The sequence below is a fragment of the Homo sapiens genome, chromosome 2 (genome assembly GCF_000001405.40).
Source record: "Homo sapiens chromosome 2, GRCh38.p14 Primary Assembly".
Classification (NCBI taxonomy): Eukaryota; Metazoa; Chordata; class Mammalia; order Primates; family Hominidae; genus Homo; species Homo sapiens.
In genome coordinates this window covers 185,189,755-185,212,528 of record NC_000002.12, presented here as the reverse complement: position 1 = coordinate 185,212,528, position 22,774 = coordinate 185,189,755, and the positions used below count along the sequence as shown (strand labels likewise).

The window sequence follows — 22,774 nt, the reverse complement described above, 5'->3', positions numbered from 1 at the left end:
AATTGCATTAATCTTATTTTGTAATTAATTAGATTTAAAAAGGCAGATCCAATTACAAGTAGACAGATACTGATATCTACGCTGAAATGTATAACATAGGAAAAATGTCAAATTCCTTTTCTTCCACATTCCTACCATTAACATGGATAATGTGCCTTGTGCTACTGAGAGTAATATTGCATAAGTAAGATTCTACTTCTTGCCTGATTTAAACTGTAAGCCTTGACATATACATTTATCATTTTCTGACACCATGTATTTGTGTGTGTATGTATTGATGGTCAATCTTACATATGTCAATTTAGCTAGGTCACGGTATCCTTATATTTGATCAAACACATCTGGATTCTGCTGTAAAGGTATTTCTTAGATGAGATTGGTATTTAAATTAATAGACTATAAACGAAGAGATTACCTTCCATAATGTGGGTGGACCTCATCCAATCAGCTGAAGGCCTTAAGAAAAAGGCTGACCCCCCATAACGAAGAGAAAATTCTTCCAGTAGACTGTTTTCAGACTTCAACATTACCAGCTCTTCCCTAGGTCTCCGGCCTGCTGGCCTATCCTGCAGACTTTGAATTTGCCAGCCTCCACAATTACTGTGAACTACTTCTTTAACATAAACCTCATTCTCTCTTTCTCTCTCAGAAGATAGATAGATAGATACAGATAGATAGATCATAGATAGACAGGCAGGTAGGTAGATAGATAGATAGATAGATAGATAGATAGATAGATAGATAGACATCTTATTTATTCTGTTCTCCTGGAGAACTGTAATACTAATATGTTTGCACAGAATAGAATATATCTCAAAAGAGCTCAGTACAAATTATTCAAATTATTAATAGATAGGTATTTAATGTAAAACTTTCAACATTGACTAAATAATTGTTTGGCAATCGCCAAATAGTATTAATATTCTGTAAAAAAGATTTATGATTTCAAAGTATTTTCAATTTTTTAACTTTTTTAAACCTTTCTAAGCTTGTGAAGTAGATATAGAAGACATTGTTGATGAGGATTCTAAGCACATGTTTAAAATAAATATAAAATTTGGGAGTGAGACGTTGAGGCTAAAACTCTCAAGCTAAAATCAATAACTCTACTGTGCAAAATAATCCAGTTAAGCAAATTCTAAATTAGTTACTTTAAGTAAAACAGGCTAGTACTGGATTACAAATTAGGCACATACTGTTCAAAAATTTAAAAAATATAGAGTAACTATAGCAACTTTGGCACATTGAGGACACATTAAACTGAATTTCTAATAAAAAAAAATTTACCATACCTCCAGGTTTTCAGCAAATCTAAACAAAGTTCTTAGTTATAAGCATAGAGGGGACAGAGTCTTGAGTTTTACTACTTGCGAATGAATGAGAATTTTAAATGTTAGAAATATCTCAATATAGTCCCCTTTCACCATGGATATATGACACCTTATTTTCAGATGTATAAAAATAGTTGTAGCAGAAATTCAATGTTTACTGGAGAATGGATTTACTTGAATAACTGTCAAAATTATTTTGGAGATATTTAAATCAATAGACTGTGATTACAGTTGTTACCAAACTTTTCTTGGAGTTGTGTTCCCTTTAGGTGATGTTGTTCTCTCTATTCATCTGGCTTATGCTTTGTAGTGACAAAAATAAATTAGCACCATAGTAGGCTAGAAATAGGCAAATTAAGCAGTATGAATTCCAAACAAAGCTAGATATTAAAAGCAAAGAGGGCTAAGACTTCAAAACAGACACAGCTCACACAAGTGTGATGAATTAATTCTAATGTTAGGCATACAGAAAGGGTACAATCAAGAAACAAAGAGACTTTAGAACTACACTGTTTTTCTGTTAGAGTACAAAGTGATTACGCATGCCCTCGGGCATAGGTAAAGGCAAACTCAAGCCAATGTTAAGATCAATACAGAGTGGCAGATTGGGTTATTCAGGAAGTAGGTTCTGAGACACAGACACAGTTTAGTGTAGGGATGTTTATTGGGGTGTTCTTAGAACGAACCAATGTGGAAGGGAGGGTACAAAAGGCAAGATGGGTGGTGGGAAAAGTTCACTGATCTGACAGAAAACTCTGGAGCTAAATATGGGCCCAGCATTATCCTGTGTTGAGCTAAATGGCCAGACTTTGATATCCTTACCTTCTTTGGTCATTGGATTTGAGCTACACTAAGACAGGCATACCCTTGGGTGAGGCCACTCTGCAGTTGAGGCAGTCCCAAGAACTGACAGCCGAAACTTCTCTGCTGACAGTATGCCCAAGGGCTGGAGAAACTCTTCTTTCCTACCCGGATGATCTGGGTGTCAGAGCTCCATGCCCATCACTGCCATCCCTTGTGCCTCATGGATTCAACTCCTTTTATACCTTTATAAAGCAGCTTTTTCAGGGTTCTTACAAAATTCTGGCAGACCTGTCTTTCTGGGAGAATGTTAGAAGAGTTAGATTATTGGCAAGTAGCAATAAGATTATTGGGAAGAACCACTGGAGATGGTCTTGGGAACATAACTGATACTCATCATCTCTTTACTATTTGTTCTAAATCACCTTTAGCCTTGGCAACCACTTCTACTTGTCATAGCTAAATCCTTATCCATCAGTGATCCAAGTCCCTTGTCAACATCCTCTTCTCAGGCCAGGAGTACTGTACCTGTTCATTTGTAGTTACATTTGCTCAAGGAAATAAGTACCAAGAGACATCCAAGCAGATCACCTGGGTTCAAAACATATTTCTCCCCGCCTCCATTGTGAAAGCAGCCCTTCCTCCTTCTGATAATCAGGTTCAATTATTCTTACCGATGTGGTGATTCCTCTTTTTTAATCTTCTGCACCACAGACAGAAGGATCCCAAAGTGCCCCTGCAGCAGGCATAGGCTGTAGCTCAATAGTGTTCTTGTTGTGTCTCCTGGAAAAGGTGGTCTGCCTTTAGTGACCCAGGCCTCTAACATTGTAGAGCCCAAAGTTGTAGGAATAGGAAGCACAGATCCCCTGAGAAGGTCACTGGGAGTGATAGTAAGTGTAGTTAAATTTCCTATTCCCAAGACTCCTGGGGAAGTAGGAATATTTGATTAAAATTATATGCTTTATATACAATATAGTGTCTTGTGGCTCATCCTTGTTATCCTCTCAAGGTATCTTCTTCCAGGTGGCGCTTCAGCTGTGCCCACAGCAGATTGTTGCATTGTTTTAGCTGGTTAGTAGCTCCTAGTTGATGGAGAATGTGATACAATCAATCAATAGAACTAACAGACATGAGCACACATCTGTAGTTCCTCTTCTCTAATAGAGATTCCATGGTCTGACATAATGTTATGTTGGATCCTATGACATTTCATAAGCCATCTAGTTGTGAAATTGCTGCCTTTCAAACAGAAGAGGAAAATTCATACCTGGAATACATGCCTATTACAAGAACACATTTCTAGCTCTTTCATTTGGAAAGGACCTATGTAGCAAGACTAAAATGTCTGACACATGAATGGTTGTAATTGATGCTATTATTTGGATGAGTTTTCTCAACTAGTCTTCTCAACATAGTCCCCCACCCAACTCAAATCAGATGTGAGCCTCTTTATTTACTACTAATGAAACCACTGGCTTTCACACTTAACTTTTGATTGCCTGTTAATTGATCTCAGCGTTTCCCTATTTACTTTTTAGCATCTGTTGATCTTAGTAGTAGCCACTGCATTTTATTGTCCTTGAAGTTACTATTTACTTTATGTTTCTCAGATACCTAATATATTGTACCACCTTGACTATCTTTCCACTGGTGTACCATCCTAAAGCTCCACCCATGAAAGTTAACCAATTGCACCATCCCTTTCTGCTAGGAGCTTTGAGCAGTAAAACAGAATCTATGTCACCAGATGATAGTTCATGATCTTACTGCCAAATATTACCTTATTAACCTATATACCTGACTTCTCTTAGCATCAACTGTGGTATTAAACTCCACTGAAGCAAATCCTTCAGTGGAGTTTGGATAGAGGAAGGAAATAGGGAGAAGTCAAGTTGAAACGAGTCCCTACATGATCCTCTGCTGCCCCCATGAGGAATCCTGCTACTAACAGGGCTCATCAAGTGGGCTGCCTCAGGAAAGGTGAGGCCACTCTGAAGATGAGATAACCCTGAAGAGGCTGACAGCTGAAGGTTATCTACTGACAGTACTTCTATCAACTGCTACACAAAGTCCTTCTTAAAGTGTAGCCTGTGCAGCACCATCATGCCTATTACAGACAACAACATGAGAAAAATATCCAGCAAAAATGAAGAAATATCAATAACGATGTCTAACATTTTTGTGTCATAGAGATTGTACACAAACATTGATTCTCTCAAACTTCGTAGTTAGGAAAGACCCATATTTTTATAATGCTTTCACAGATAAAGAGGTTCAGAGAACTCAGGTGACTTTCTGTAGAAGATAGATACAATAAGTATTGAAGTTAGAATGTGCTAGCCTTAGAACATGACAAGAAGGGATTCTTCTCTGGGCCCTGCCCTTCAGTAAGTCTCTAATACTGAAACCACACAAAACATAATCTAAAAAATACACATGTGCACTTTTGTCACTTGGAATCTGCTGCATGATACTGATACAGTGCACCCTGTGACCTTAAACATCTACTCTCATGCCTACCTCGCACATGCCAGGACCCAGGAACATGCTTCTCTGTGTCCTTTGAGCAATGTCCTCAAAACAAAAGTTGACTGTATCTGAATGCCATAAGTCCCACTGCTAATTTTCAAGGCAATCACTTAGTACAGTACTCATAAACATTTTACATGGCTATTGATAAACATTTATTTATATAACTTAAAATTTTATTCATACATTTATAAGTAACACATGAAGCCTGATACCAATTATTATGTTGCCAAATAGAAAAATATTTAATGGTAGAATTGTAAATAAATTCATTTTTAGATATTTCATAATTTTAAATTAAATTTACAAATAAAATTTATTTGAATACATTTTACATTTTATTAATTTAAATTTAATAAATAACATTTAATATTTAAAGAAAAATAACTGCTTAGAAAATATATATACTTTAATTTTAAAATTTGATATCCAAATTTTGGATACTTTAAATACAATTATTTATCATTTATGATTTAAGATCATAACTGAATAAAATACACATTATGTGAAATTATTTCTTATAAGAAATAATGACTTTGTAAAAAGAAGGCAATACAAATATATTTTGTTACAAAAATATATTTATGAATTACATGTCTTCTATACTCATCCAAATCTCATTGTCCCATCAACATAACATCCAGGTGTGTAGGATAATAATTCAATTCATTCATCCTTGATGTGTTGCCTTTATGTAGTTTTATTGAAGACAAACTTTATATATTTTAATGCTGTAGTTAATAATAATGTTTATTGTAATGGTTAGTTTTGCATATTAATTGCTAAAATATGGTACCTACTTTCTTGATCAGACTTCAAATAGGCTTCATCCAATCAGTTGAAAGCCTTAAGAGCAAATATCGAGGTTTCCTGCAGAAGAAGGAATTCTGCCTCCAGATGTCTACATAGAAATTTGGCCTGAGTTTTCAACCTTCAGACTTAAAACTGAGACATCAACTTTTACCTGAATTTCCAGCTTGCTGGGGAGAGATTCCATTTGTTCTATTTCTTTGGAGAAGCCTGAATAATATAGTTATATTTCTTGAAACAGGATATAGAACATATTTTATGTAATGCTTGATTTTCTTGATTTATACTTTTAAAATATTTGGGCATTTATTAAGAAGGCTTTTATTTGTACTTTTGTCATAGGCTCCACAATAAGAGGGCAGGATTAATATTAGAACTGTATTAAAACATTGGGTTGGAAAAAGACTACCTGCCAGAAACTATAAATGAACCTGTGAATACTAGCTTGAATATAAACGGAGAAGTTTCCTGACAAATTATATATATATATATATGCCATTAATATTCAGATGTTTCATTATTTAAAGGGGATAAAGAGTGTATTCATCTACTTTAGCTGTCATAAAAAAATGCCACAGAGTGATAAGGTGGCGATTAGAGTGAGCCAGGAAGAGGGCTTTTAATAAGAACCAAAACTGCAGACAACTTTGTCTTGGATTTATGGCCCCCGGAACTGTGAGAAATAAATGTCTATTATTTGGCCACCCAGTCTATATTATTTTGTTTTGGTAGCTCAAGCAGACTAATAAAGATTATGGTAATGAGAGGTGGGGCACTACTGTAACAAATACCTAAATTGTGGAAGTGGCTTTGAAACTGAGTAATGGGTAGGGACCAAGAGGGTTTTGAGGTGCATGCTGGAAAGCTGAGATTGACGTGAAGGGATGGCTCATGTGATTATGTAGACTGAGAAGTCTAGGCGGAGGAGAGCCAGTGATATAGTTCCTGTTTGAATCCAAAGGCCTGAAAAGCAGGAGCTGATGATGCAAGTTCCAGTCAGAGTCTGAGTCTGAAGGAGAGAGTAACAATGTCCCAACTCAAAGACAAGCAGAGAGAGTGAATTCTTTCTTTCTCAGCCTTTTATTCTCTCCAGGCCTTCAATGGAATGAATGAAGCCCACCCCTATTAAGGAAGACAATCTGCTTTATCAATTTAAATGTTAATCTCAACCAGACACAACCTCATAAACACATCCAGGAATCACATTTAACCAAATATCTGGGTACCCCCATGTGTATTCGTCTGTTCTCACACTGCTAATAAAGACATACCCAAGACTGGGCAATTCATAAAGGAAAGAGGTTTAATGGACTCTGGGGAAGCCTCACGATCATGGCAGAAGGCAAAGGAGGAACATAGGCATGTCTTACATGGCGGCAGACAAAAGAGATGTGCAGGGGAATGCCCTTTATAAACCCACCATATCTCGAGACTTACTATCATGAGAACAGCATGGGAAAAACCCGCCCCCATGATTCAGTTACCTCCCACTGGGTTTCTCCCATGACATGTGGGGATTATGGGAGCAACAATGCAAGATGAGATTTGGGTGGCAACACAACCAGAAAATATCACCGTGGTTGTCACGTTGACAATAAAATTAGCAATCACTGAGGGTAATTGTGGGTGTGTGGAGCAGTACAGAATTGTAAATAGAGTGGCCAGGCAAGCACTTTCTCTAGAGATGGTAACATTTGAAAAACTGAATGATAATTGGGAGTGTCATGCTCAGAACCTGAGGAAGATTTTTACAAGGTAAAGAGTAAATGCAGAGACTCTGAGATGTAACTGAGCTATACCTGGAATATATTGAGAAAGAACAGACTGGTGCATGATTAAGCTTGGAGAGTGAGGTAGGGTCAAATTGTTGGCCATGGTAGAATTTTGATTTTACTGTACATATAACGGAACTTAATATAAAAGATTAAAGAAGAGGAGACTTGCAATGTGATTCATTTGAGAGGAGAAGGAGGGAAAGAAGAAAGGAAGAAGGAAGGAAAGAGGGAAGAAAGGAAGGAACAAAGGGAGGGAGGGAGGAAAAAGTAATGAATAAACAAGGAAAGGAAGGAAAAAGCTGAAAGAAGCAATAAAGAAGATATACAATAAACTAATATTCTGAGGACAGTATGGAAAATAGACTGTAGTTTCAGCAATGGAAAAATTATGTTACATTAGCTCCCAAAAGAGAAAATCATTGCCTGTATCTAGACCTTGGTGATACATAATTTTGGAGTGATTAGAAATGTATTTCAAAAATGAAACTGAGAGAATTTGTCAATGAATCAAATGTGAAGGACAGTATAAGAGTATAAATAATGATGGTTCTTTATTTTAAAATAAAATTAAATTGGTTTTGCCATGATTTTTGAGGTGGGAAATAATGAAAAACATCATTAAGTTTTTTATTCGCATGGAGGAATCAAAAATTTATTTTGGATATATTAACACTAAAATGCTAATTAGATTGAAAAGTGAATATGTTAAGTAGGAATTAGAAGAAGAGCAATGCGTAGGGGCAATCTGGTGTCACAGATGAAAATAAGAACTTTCTAATGCTTAGAGAGGTTTAACTTCTTTTTCTAAGTATGTTTTATTTTCTCAAACTCATGGGTAAAGTTCAATACACATGCACGTGTGCACACACACATACACACACACTATCTGCCATCAGCAGTTATCAGTGTTACAAGTCATATGCTAGGTTAGAAATCAAAAGAAAAATAAAAGGAAATGGGGATAAAAGGTGTGGAGACATATTAATAGGCAAGTACTAAAAAGAGGGGATGAAATTACCCTGATATTCAAAGAAGTATCTGAACTGCTGCTCGGGTACTGAAAACACCCTCCCAATTAATTTTATTGGTATGAAGAGATGCAGGGTCAGTAACACTTACTATAATCGGGAAATAAGTTTAGAACCGCATTTTGGAAGTATATCATTAGAATGTATATGTTAACACAAAATACTATCAAATAGAGTCATGTAAATTTGAGAGATAGAATATTTAGAGCATTTTATGTAGGAATAATATGGTGAAATAAATGACCATCAAAATGATAATATAGCAACTGAAGGCTGAAATATTCAACTTAAAAATCTAGAAATATTTATTTCATGGCTAGAGAAAGAAGGCCCATTTGGTTAGCTCAAGTTCAAGTATGGCTATGAAGTACTGGTTTTACATGAATTTTACATAATATGAAGGTTCTCATATCCAAGAAATGAAGAGTAAGTCCTTCAGTCTTTAAATTTGTAGTCTAGTTGCTTGAATATTCCATTTCTTTCAAGTGGAGTAAAAGGATGTATCTTTAGAACAGCAGTTCATATATGATGAAGTTCTTCTGAAGAAGCTACAAGTTGGCTCCCCCTAAGGTTTCCCACTGGAAATTTTGACTAAATTTCTGAATTCCTTATAAGGTTGCTCTTGGCCGCCCTAAAAATCCTCCTAGGTGGTAGGACATAAGTCATTACTATCCAGGTTTTGAACTGAGCAGGGCTAGAAGCAAGGTTTAAATTATGCCCAGTTTACTGACAGGCAAAGTCTTAAGTGGCTCTGAGTTTTGAAATACTGAAATTAGATACTGAACTATGTCCTCGCTTTAATTACTGAGATTTAATGTCACACCCATCAATGTTAATATATTTTGTCTACACATTTCTCACTGGATGACCTCATGCTCTATTTGGTAAGACTACAACTAATTTGTAGAAATTGAAATAGTATTCCCAGTTCCTAGCAACCCGTATAACACAGACATTTTCAGCGAAGTTTTTGTCTAATTTAATTGCATTGAAATTTTAATAATGAGACAATCTCCCATGTCCTTCATCACACAACAGAATGATGGATTTTAGAACTGATCCCTAGACAAGAGCATAGAAATCTTATTTAGCCTCACACTGGCTGCATGCTTTTAGGGAAGGCAATTAGACATCTTGTTTTGGTTTAATTCAATAAAGTGAAGATATTTATCAAAACCTATCTTAGGCTTTTTCCAGATCTTTTATACTGTTGACACAATCTTTAAATAATTAATTGTTCCAAAAATAGGACTCATATGATATTTTTATGCTAGAGTAAGCATCCTAGGGTTGACACATTCTTGCCTTTTGTTATATATGAAATATTTTTGACATTTGTAATTATTTATGTAGGAAAACAGCCATGAAAGTAGAAAATCAACTCAGAAAGTAGACACAAGTTTCTTTTGTATGGGGAAGAAAATAGATAAAATGATTTGGTCTATGGTGCATAGCAATTGGTAAAATTGGTGTTGATTTTGATGTTTATTAGGGAGAAATTTCTATTAGATTTCATTTAGTGTGGAAAATTGGACCCTCTGACAAACTCTATAGTATTCCATGCTCCAGACAGGCTTACAGACCTCTCCATCTGTCAAATATCATGCTCTTTGGTTTGGAACATATTCCTTGGTTTGGAGCATTATGTTTGAACAGATGGAGTGGCCTGTTTGTAGATAAAATTAACAATGCATTTCTGTATATATTAGTTCGTTCTAGTTTTCATAATTTTTTCTCCTGTGGTATTTAAAACACAAATTACGTATGTTGTCTGAAAGACAGAGGGTATGAAAATGCTGAGCTTGAGCAACTCAAAATAACTCTGCTGGAATTGCAGCCAACATTAAAGTTTTTGAAAAATGAGTTGACACATAGAGGGTATCTTTGGAATACTCTTTAAAATATTGAATGGCAAAAATTTTTAGGCTCCAAAATCTCCAAAATTGTGTTAATTAGAAAATTATAGCTTACAAATCAATATGATTTGATTTTTTTCTTTAAAATGCAATTCTCAGGTATTGTAAACTATTTTTTCTGTAAGAATAGAGAGATCGCAGATCTAGATGACATTAAGATACTTCAAAAAGGAAATTTATTACCTACTATGAAAGATACATGAACAGCAAATAGGCATTTTTGTTTCTTGCCTAATTTAAACCAAGTTTTCATATATTCTTATTGACTTGTAAAACATGTGTATAAAATACAGATACTGTGACTATACACATATACATAAATGTATATAATATATATACACACAAAAATACAGATACAAACATGTTGTCAATAAAATACCAAGTGTTTTTAAATATATTAGCAAAATAGCGAAACAAAAAAAAAAGTCAATACTATCCCCTTCTTTGTTTATAGTTTCTGCCTTTTGTAACATTTTGATGACATTTATCCCATAAGATGAGACCAATATTTTGGTATAATTATATTTTCTTCTGCTAATTTTATATTTTCAGGGTAAATGCTGCATCAGGATTATTCAGTTTCACAGTTACCTGTTATTTTTTTCTAGATAATCTTTGAACCAATATTGTCAAATTCTTATCACTCCACCTAAAATTTTTTATTGTTCTTGTGTTGTGTTTAAGCCTGTATAGAATTTATAAAATATTGTTGAACTTATGGAACTATTAAGATTTGCTATTCAAGAACAAGGCACATTGCTCATTTTGCTCATTTAGTCAATGTTTTTTCCATCAAATCTAAAGTCAACAGTGTCTTCTAGTTTCATCCATTTTGTTGCAAATGGCAGAATTTCCTTTTCTCTAAGGCTGGATAATATACAGTTTTTAAATACACACACATACACATACACACACCACAGTTCCTTTATCCATTCATTGATGGATGAAAACAAGTTATTTTTATGTCTTGGCAATTTTGAATAATGCTGCAATAAACATGAGTGCATAAATTGCCTCTTGAAAGTACAATAATTATTTTGTTTTCTTTGGATATATGCCCAGAAAAAGGATTACTTTTAATTTTTTGAGGAACCGCTGTACTATTTTCTATAATGGCTCTACCAATTTGCTAAGTGACATAAGCCAGACACAGAAAAATACTTCACAATCTCACTTATATGTGGAATCTACAAAGGTCTAATACAAAGAAGTAGAGAGTAGGAGAGTGGTTACCAGGCCATAAATGATGTAGGGTTAAAGTTGTAATACAAAGTTGCAGTTATGTAGAATGAAGAAGTCTGGAGATCTAATGTATAGCATGAGGGCTATAGTTAATAAAATACTATCTTATACACTGGGAATTTGTTAAGAGAGCAAATTTCAAGTGCTTTTATTATGGAGAAAATGTGTGAGGAGAGGTATATGTTAATTTGCTTAACAGGAATAATTATTTCACTATGTATATGTATATCAAAGTATTATGTTGTACTCAAATTATATAATATAATAAATCAGTACATCTATAGAGCAGATTTTTTTTTACTTTATGTCTTTTTTCATATGGATCTTTTGGAGATCGCCTTTTCAGAAGTATTGCCATTTAAATAAGTAAGCAGTTTTAATTGATAAATTTTTTAAAGTTAATTTTACTAGTTTCTGTTTTTCTGGAGATTTTGAAATAATTGTATTATGCACAAATGATGATAATTTTATTAAAATACTTATTATTCTTTATTTCCTCTCAATTTCTTAACATTTTTCTTGAAATATGTTGTGATAATAAACTTTTTTTTCACCAGGAATGCAGAAATTGATCTTGTGAAGTCGAAATCTGACTTGGTCCTACCCTACCTCCATTACTAACCTCAATGAGAATGTTAAATGTGGAGTAATTCATTTTGGTCTTAGGTAAATGACATTTGGGGATTAATTGTTTAGTAAAATTTATACACTGACTAATACATTTAGATTTTTGAAAAAAATTTATTAAGATTTAACATGGAATACTTTTTGAGGATTGCTTTTCAAAGGTATATTTTGCATTTAATTGTTGAGATGAATTATATTAACTTGTTTTCTATAACTGGACAACTTTCAACTTTCAATACTAGAATCTCTCTACTTATCACACTGTATTATTGTTTTTATTCCAGTAGAGTCCATAGGTTAGTATTTTTCTTGAACTATTTCCATATATGTTCAAAATTATGATAGATATATAGGTATTTTTAAGTGCTATCTTTATAATTTATTAACAAGGAAGTTGTATGGTATTATTAAAGCTAGAATTAAGCTACTCAGGATATTTCTGTATGTTTGATTCCTTCTATTACAATGTTGTATAATTTCAGACCAACTTTTATTTAAGAATTTTCATTTTTACTTAAAGTACAGTAATAATAATCTCTAGAAAAGTACAAATCATAGTTATCTGAATAACCGGCATTTATTTGTTATTTGTATCTGGAGTAAATAAGGTTTTTGGAACTCTAATGCATTAATGGGTATCACCATTCAGTTAATAGCATAAAATATTGAATTAGTATACATAGTAACTTCTCAGCATACATAATAGCTAATATTATTATCATCAAACCTATTTTTTAATTTTTTTATTTTTTTTGCAATCTCTTCGGAGTATCATATCTGATTTGTAGTTATTCCTAATAGTAATTGCTATAATATTACATTACAGAAATTTTTAAATCATTTAATTTTTTCCATTATAAATAACACGTTTTAATAAAAATGCAGAAATTCAAATAAAGAAATTTAAAAACAAAAACAAAAACAAAATACAGGGAGATGAAGAAAGTTTTTATTTCCGTAAACAGTTACTGGGAGAAGGCCTGGAAATTATCACCAGACCAACTCAAAATTACAAAGTTTTTCAGAGTTTATGATGACAACAAATGCCTCAATGATGTATTTGAAATCTGTCTACTGTTTTAAAAATATTTTAATATCTGGAAAGTAATAAATGATTCCTGTAAGTATTATACATGTAATTTTTTGGTTTGTAGCTTCTTAAAAATGCTAGAGCTTAGATTCAACATAAAAGCTAAATTACATAATTGGCATGGACAGCTCTTAGAGTAAAACTTACTATCATTTAGTCATATCTTTCTAGATATGTAATAAAAATTATACCATTTGGTGGTTTACAATAAATTATTTAAATATATTAGTTAACAGTTCAACTAAAATACAATAATTTACAAATATTTTCTTTACAAATAAGTTTACAATTTCTTTTATAGAAACATATGATAACCGTTATCTCTAGTGTAAATCAGACATCATCAAATATTTTTATTGAAATATTTTTATTTTTATTGAATATTTTATTTTAACATATTTCTACCAAATAAAATTTTTAATATATATCATAATATTTTAAATTTGTATTGGCTGTCTATTTGCTTCTGTTTTTTATATTTCAAAACACTATTTAGCAAGATATTCCCTGTTCTTTGAAAAACTAAGACAAACTGAATTAAGCAAACTTGTATTTTAGTATTTGAATGACAGACATTAAAAATTAAATAAGTTTCTTATCAATATGTAAACTGTATATCATCCAGCCATTCTACTGAGAGATCTCTAGATACATGGAATATGTACTCCAAGGAAATGACAAATACCCCAGTGAGACAGCTGCATCCATTTTTTTTTAACTTGCTACCAAGCACAACTTCAGTGGCAAGCACAGAGGCAAATTTTAAACTGTTTGCTAAGTGTCTGTCATTTCTGCTTTCACAAAAAGAATGATTTCCAACGAGAGAACACTGTGCTCCAAAATACCTAATGTGGGCAGCCAACCGATGAATCATCCTGAGAAAAGCCAGAGAAACCAATCATCTTAGTATAAAATCCATTGATCAATGATTTCCTACAACAACAGTTTCCCTGAATCTAATTCATTCTGTACAAAATTACTTCTGTGTTGTAAAACTCAAAAAGTGTCAGACTGCCATTTTTTGGTTGTGTTTATTAAATTTTTTATGGTTGAGACAATTGAACATTGATGTGCTGTCACATGCAGATATTTCCTGTCTACCTTTTCACAGTGGTTTCTTAAGAGAGATGATTTGGTATTTTATAAAGCAAATTTGGCTTTGACAATATCAAACTGTCATTTTAGCTCAAGAATCTTTTATAACCTTACTGTATCACAAACACAGATGTGTTTGAGTTTCTCTTAATCTCTTTTTGTGTCTCTGTTCCTCTCTCTATATATATCTATACACACATGTCCATGCATGTGTAAATTAAGTTCTCTTTAGCTCAGTTCCCTAATCTGTAAAATGGAGATAATAAGAATTGATGATTATTTTTGGTATTAAGTTTAATACCAATGAAAGATTTAGAACAATATCTGGCATATACTGACTATTCAATAAATACTATCATATTAGCATAAATATTTTAGGTAGAATAACCTATTAGAAAACTTATAGAGAAAGGAGTTAAAAAATAAAAGAAAATTAGTCTTTTAAAAATAAGTATCTTGAGTACATTAGAGCAGATACAGTTAGTTATAAGGTAGTGCTCATGATTTTCTGCATTATGTTTGCTACCACTTAATATGCCTCTAAAGACACGTTCAGCCCTGTAGATAAGAACTTGTTCTTAGACATTTTGGTATTTTTCTTTAGTCTGAATGGGGTGGCTCTAATAATACCTGCTAGTTTGCCTTTATAGTGGTGTAGTTGTTGAGGCATGAATATATGTCTCAAACTCTAACAGAAAGAAAAATACACGGTCCTGTCAGAGTAAATGGAGATGTTATAATCTGGCCTCTGATGCAGTATGCATTTATGCTTAATGAGAAGGTATAGAGCATATTTGTGGTATTTTAGTAATGCAGCAATTAAACTTCATGAATAAGTCTTTGTTAGATGTAGAATCCTTCTCAAATTTTGGTACTAAAGTAAACTATAGCATTTCATCTTTTATCCTAAAAGTCAAGGCTTAGACATTATTGATAATCTTGGCAGGTTAGGACTTTTCACCTTAAGAGCATGGAAGGAGTGACTCAAAAAAACCAGGAAAGCCAGATGTAATTTAGAGCAGGGGTAAAGTGTATTGTCCAGCAAGAGCATGATGAGTATGCAGTCGTGGCAGCAGGGCATACCAACAGACTATTTCTGTGGTGCTATCACCATTGTATTTTCTGCTGATGTTCTACAAATGCTGCTTCTCTAGGTTTCTTTTGATTCTGTAATATTTCCAATGCACTTCTAATAAATTTAGTTTGTTTACTCCCATGCTTTATGTAAGTAAGCCAGGTAAAGTTTTTGTTGTTTCTAATAATACCTCAGTCAATCCACAGGTGATACTATTGTGACAATTATGACCATTTTTAGAAAAGAGAACCCCTATGGGAATGATTAAGCTCACAGCTCAGAACAAAAGTATTCAGAACAGTGTCTACAACATCGGTGAATGAAGTAGGATAACATAACTGAGTAGGGAGAAAATAAGCCATGGACATGGAGGCAAGAAATGCAAGTCACTGGGTCTTGGTCTGTGGAGATGGTGGATACAGCAACTAAAAGCTCAGCACTGACCATTCCTGAAGTTTACATGGAGCTGCCAGAGACAGAAGGTACTTGGGAGAGACAAGGTTTCCCACATACTACAGCTGGCACAGCATGACAGAGAAATGCAGTTTCGTTAGTGCTTCTCTCAGTATATTGTTGCAGACTGTTAAGATAACCTAGGAAATCAAATAATTATTTATTCAGTGCTTACTACGTGCCACACACCCATAACAGGATTTATACATTTTATCTTCACATTAAACTAACTGCAAAAATCACTAGTATTTTAATTACACAAACTAGACCAAGATAGAACATAAGTTATGAAAAGATAAAATCACAGGTTAATTTGCTTATTAGAGATATAACATTCACGTTTATTGAATTTCCTTAGTTTAGAGTTCCCTGTTTGCTCTCAGTTGAATGTAATTTATGACTTAATTTGTGGCTTCAACAATGATGATTCCCCTCTTTTTATTTCCTTTATTATCACTGATATCTACCTGGTCACTCCCTACTCCATAGTCACATGTATCTTTAAACTCCTTAATGAAGGCAACATGAAAGTAGATTGTCTGTTTCATGGGAAAGCCAAGGTTAAAATTTTGTCTTTTGAATTTGCTACTGCTGGGTTTCAGACAGGCTATTTAAGCTGTTTATGCCTATATTGCACCACCTGCGAAATAGATGAAGCAATTATATTATCTAACCCCTAGTGTTGTTATAAGAATTAATTAATAAACCTGCATAAAGCTCTGAAAACAATACCTGGAACATGGAAAACACTAAAAAATGCTATCAGTTATTGAGGATTGAGAGAACTTTATCTTACTCGCTATGAATGTGTCCATTCTGTCTCTCAAATTTAATTACAAAGAAAATAATTTGTGTTTTTAAAAGGTAATATGATTACCATATAATGGCCTATTCCAGTAATACAGGTATAGCTAATGGCAATGATAATATACATTACTCATTTAACCAATTTACACCATACCCATTACTTTGAGACTTCTGTGCACATACACTCATATGTCACTTAACAATGGGGACACATTCTGAGAAATCCATTGTTAAGCGATTTTGTTATTATGCAAACATTGTAGAGTGTACTTACACAATCTAGGTGGTATAGCCTACTACACACCTCGGCTATATGGTCTAGCCTATTGCTCCTAGTCTACAAATCTGTACAGCATGTTACTGTACTGAATACTACAGACAATTATAACACAATAGTATATATTGGTGTATCTAAACATATTTAAACAGAGAAAGAGCAAATATGGTATAAAATGTAAAATATTTTACACCTATAGGGCATTTACTGTGAATGAAGCTTGCAGGAATGGAAGCGGCTCTGGATCAGTCAGTGAGTGAGTGTTGAGTGAATATGAAGTCCTAGGACATTATTATATACTACTATACACTTTATAAACACTAAAAACTTAAACTGTCCTACATTTAGGAAAAAAAAGTAATTGCGATATGGTTATGATGGCTACAAAGTCTACAGGCAAAAATGAATTTTTTAGTTCCATTATAATTTTATATAACCACTGTCAGATATGTGGTCCCTCACTGGCCAAAATGTCATTATGTGGTATATGATTGTATGTAATTATTTTAGCATATTTCAGATGGTTTTATATCTAAGCTTCTTGCTTTATGTGATTGATTCCAAAACTTTCTGACACAAATATTGACAAATGACTTCATAATCCTAAAATTTAATATGAGCGATTTAAAATGTAATTAGTAAGTAGAACATTTACTTACATAATACTTAAGAATGAAATTTAATGTCATTCTGAAAATATTTACACTCGCAAACATATATAAATAATAAAAATAAATTGGATCAAAGGGCTTGATAAGAAAGATTTATGTACAATTTTGGGGAACAAATATAACTATATATTGTAGAAAAAGCATATTTAAATATTAATAATTTTTATCCTTTATACCTGACAGAGAGAAGTTAACTCATGAACAGACATTTCTCAAAAGAAGACATACTGAGACTTTGCTGAAGTTGCTTATCAGCTTATAGGGTTTAGGGGCTGAGACAATGGGGTTTTCTAAATATACAATCATGTCATCTGCTAACAGAAACAATTTGATTTTCTCTCTTCCTATTTGAATACCATTTATTTCTCTCTCTTGCCTGATGGCGCTGGCCAGAACTTCAATACTATGTTGAATAGGAGTGATGAGAGAGGGCATCCTTGTCTTGTGCTGGTTTTCAAAAGGAATGTTTCCAGCTTTTGCCCATTCAGTATGATATTGGCCGTGGGTTTGTCATAAATAATTCTTATTATTTTGAGGTATGTTTCATCAATACCTTGCTTATTGAGTGTTTTTAGCATGAAGGGGTGTTGAATTTCATCGAAGGCCTTTTCTGCATCTATTAAGATAATCATGTGTTTTTTGTCATTAGTTTTATTTATATGATGGATGACATTTATTGATTTGCATATGTTGAGCCAGCCTTGCATCCCAGGGATGAAGCCAACTTGATTGTGGTGGATAAGCTTTTTAATGTGCTGCTGAATTCATTTGCCAGTATTTTATTGAGGATTTTTGCATGGATATTCATCAGGGCTATTGGCCTGAAATTTTCTTTTTTTGTTGTGTCTCTGCCAGATTCTGGTACCAGGATGAAGCTGGCCTCATAAAATGAGTTAGAGAGGAGTCCCTCTTTTTCTATTGTTTGGAATAGTTTCAGAAGGAATGGTACCAGCTCCTCTTTGTACCTCTGGTAGAATTCAGCTGTGAATCCATCTGGTCCTGGGCTTTTTGGTTGGTAGGCTGTTAATTATTGCCTCAAATTCAGAGCTTGTTAGTGGTCTATTCAGGGATTCGACTTCTTCCTGGTTTAGTCTTGGGAGGGTGTATGTGTCCAGAAATTTATCCATTTTTTCTATATTTTCTAGTTCATTTGTGTAGATGTGTTTATAGTATTCTCTGATAGTAGTTTGTATTTCTATGGGATCAGTGGTTATTTCACCTTTAACATTTTTTATTCTCTCTTTTCTTCTTTATTAGTCTTGCTACAAGTCTATCTATTTTGTTATTCTTTTCAAAAAAAACAGCTCCTGGATTCATTGATTTTTGATTGTCTCTATTTCCTTCAGTTCTGCTCTGATCTTAGTTATTTCTTGTCTTCTGCTAGTTTTTGAATTTGTTTGCTGTTGCTGCTCTACTTGTTTTAACTGTGATGTTAGGGTGTCAATTTTAGATCTTTCCTGCTTTCTCCTGTGGGCATTTAGTGCTAAGAGTTTCCCTCTTAATCCTGCTTTAGATGTGTCCCAGAGATTCTGGTACATTGTGTCTTTGTTCTCACTGGTTTCAAAGAACTTATTTATTTCTGCCTTAATTTTGCTATTTACCCAGTAGTCATGAATGAGCAGGTTGTTCAGTTTCCATGTAGTTGTGCAGTTTTTGAGCAAGTGTCTTAATCCTGAGTTCTAATTTGATTGCACTGTGGTCTGAAAAGCTGTTTGTTATGATTTCCCTTCTTTTGAATTTGCTGAGGAGTGTTTTACTTCCAATGACGTGGTCAATTTTAGAATAAGTGCTACGTGGTACTGAGTAGAATGTATATTCTATTGATTTGGGGTGGAGAGTTCTGTATATTTCTATTAGGTCTGCTTGGTCCAGAGCTGAGTTCAAGTCCTGAATATACTTGTTAATTTTCTGTCTCATTGATCTGTCTAATATTGACAGTGGGTTGTTAAAGTCTCCCAGTGTTATTGTGTGGGAGTAAAATCAATGTGCAAAAATCACAAGCATTCCTATACTCCAATAATAGACAAACAGAGGGCCAAATCATGAGCAAACTCCCATTCACAATTGCTACGAAGATAATAAAATACCTAGGAATACAATTTACAAGGAATGTGAAGGACCTCTTCAAGTAGAACTACAAACCACTGCTCAAGGAAATCAGAGAGCACACAAACAAATGGAAAAACATTCCATGCTCATGGATAGAAAGAATCAATATCATAAAAATGACCATATTGCCCAAAGTAATTTATAGATTCAATGCTATTCCCATAAAGCTACAATTGACTTTCTTCACAGAATTAAAAAAAATACTTTAAATTTAATATAGAACCAAAAAAGAGCCCATACAGCCAAGACATTCCTAAGCAAAAAGAACAAAGCTGGAGGTATCGTGCTACCTGACTTCAAACTGTACTACAAGGCTACAGTAACCAAAACAGCATGGTACTGGTACCAAAACAGATGTATAGACCAATGGAACAGAACAGAGCCCTCAGAAATAACACTACACATCTACAACCATCTGATCTTTTACAAACCTGACAAAAACAAGCAATGGGGAAAGGATTCCGTATTTAATAAATGGTGGTGTGAAAACTGGCTAGCCCTATGCAGAAAACTGAAACTGGATCCCTTCCTTACACCTTATACAAAAATTAATTCAAGATGGATTAAATACTTCAGCATAAGACCTGAAACCATAAAAACCTTAGAAGAAAACCTAGGCAATACCTTTCAGGACATAGGCATGGGCAAAGTCTTCATGACTAAAACACCAAAAGCAATTGCAACAAAAGCTAAAATTGACAAACGGAATCTAATTAAACTAAAGAGCTCCTGCACAGCAGAAGAAACTATCATCAGAGTGAACATGCAACCTACAGAATGGAAGAAAATTTTTGCAATATATCCATCTGACAAAGGGCTAACATCCAGAATCTACAAAGAACTTAAACAAATTTACAAGAAAAAAAAACAACCCCATCAAAAAGTGGGCGAAGGACATGAACAGACACTTCTCAAAAGGAGACATTTATATGGCCAACAAACATATGAAAAAAAGCTCATTATCACTGCTCATTAGAGAAATGCAAATCAAAACCACAATGTGACACCATCTCATGCCAGTTAGAATGGCTATCATTAAAAAGTCAGGAAACAACAGATGTTGGAGAGGATGTGAAGAAATAGGAATGCTTTTACAGTGTTGGTGGGAGTGTAAATTAGTTCAACCATTGTGGAAGACAGTGTGGCGATTCCTCATGGATCTAGAACCAGAAATACCATTTGACCCAGCAATCCCATTACTGGGCATATACCTAAAGGATTATAAATCATTCTACTGTAAAGACACATGCACACGTATGTTTACTGCAACACTATTTACAATAGCAAAGGCTTGGACCTGACCCAAATGCCCATCAATGTTAGACTGGATAAAGTAAATGTGTCACATACACACCATGGAATACCAGGCAGCCATAAAAAAGAATGAGTTCATGTCCTTTGCAGGGACATGGATGAAGCTGAAAACCATCATTCTCAGCAAACTAATACAGAAACAGAAAACCAAACACCCCATGTTCTCACTCATAAGCAGGAGTTGAAAAATGAGAACATATGGGCACAGGGAGGGGAACATCACACACTGGGGCCTGTCGGTGGGTGGGGGACAAGGGGAGGAATAGCATTAGGAGAAATACCTAATGTAGATGATGGGCTGATGGGCGCAGCAAACCACCATGGCACATGTATACCTATGTGACAATCCTGCACGTTCTGTACATGTATCCCTGAACTTAAAGTATAATAAAATTAATAAATATAAATAAAAATGTATTACAAAGCCAAATATATATATATACATATATAAAACAAAGCTTAAAAAAGACACACAAACAGCCAACAAACATAAAAATCTGCCTAAGTCACTAATTATCAGAGAAATGCAAATTAAAACCACAATGAGATATTATCTTACACCGGTTAGAATGGCTATTGTTTAAGAAGTCAAAAAATGACAGATATTGGTGAGGGAGTATGTGGAGGAAAGGGAACATTGGTAAGAATGTAAATTAGTACAACTTCTTTGGAAAACATTATGGAGATTTCTCGAGAACTAAAAATTGAACTACCATTTAACCCAGCAATCCCAACACAATGTATTTACCCAAGAAACAGAAATCATCATATCAAAAAATATCTGCCTGCACTGGTATGTGTATCTCAGCACTGTTTACATTAGCAAAGTCATGAAATTAACTTAAGTTTTCATCAATGGAAAATTGGATAAAGAAAATGTTGTATATATACACAATGGAATACAAAGCAGTGCTAAAGAGGAATAAACTTATATATTTTGCAGCAATGTGGGTAGAGTTGGAGCCATTAAGCTAAATGAAATAACTCAAAAACAAAAATTTAAACACCCCACCTTCTCAGTTAAAAGTGGAAGCTAGACAATGTGTACACATGGACATAAAGATGGAAATGATACCTACTGGGGACTAAAACGGGGATGAGGGAAGGGGATGAGGATTAAAAAATCAACAGTTAGGTGCAATTTTTAATATGTCATTGATAGGCACACTAGAAGCCTAAACCTCACTGTCACTCAATATATCTATATAACAAACCTGCACATTTACCCCCTGAATCTAAACCTTTTTAAAAAATAATAAGTTTTGATTTTGATGGGATATAAAAGCTGTGTAGTAAGTAAATGAGTGAGCAAAAGGTCTATTTAAAAGCATCAGAGAGCCAGAAAGGCAGCCATAGCTTAGGAAGCCAAGATCACAGACAGCAGAAAACCAAAGTAAGGTGAGCTGGACTTTCTCAGTTTTTTTTTTTTTTTTCACTCTGAAAATGAGCTGTTTCCTAAGAATGCAGCTCAGGATATAGAAATATGGAAAACCAGATATAGAATAACTTTTACAAACCTGGAAATTCCCTAGAACCCACTCAATCTCTGATTAAAGCCAGGGATTGATCTCTGTTCTGAACTGTTGGGCAGAAAGGAATTATAAACTCATTCAAAGCCTTCATATTTTCACACATAATGTACACCAGTCAATAATCATACAAAATTCAGAACCAAGGGAAAAATGGAAATCAATCAACAGTGCTCCAATTGCTGAAGGTGGTTTACAATGACTTTAAAGTGACCTGAATAAATGTGTTCAGGAAAAGAAATAAAAAGGAGCATTTCACAAGCGAACTAGAAAGTATACAGAAGAATCAAATAGA

At 33.9% G+C, this 22,774-nt stretch overlaps 1 long non-coding RNA gene across 3 annotated transcripts in view; it reads right to left on the bottom strand.

Moving 5' to 3' along the window:
- LOC105373781 (uncharacterized) overlaps positions 1 to 22,774 on the bottom strand; it is a 53,658-nt gene that overhangs the window by 7,864 nt on the left and 23,020 nt on the right. For 2 of the 3 annotated variants that reach the window (XR_923661.1, XR_923662.1), the window contains exon 3: positions 15,764 to 15,912. The exons of the other annotated variant lie outside the window; for it this stretch is intronic. This is a non-coding gene — a long non-coding RNA (uncharacterized LOC105373781). The remainder of the gene's footprint in view (positions 1 to 15,763; positions 15,913 to 22,774) is intronic. 3 annotated transcript variants of the gene reach the window in all.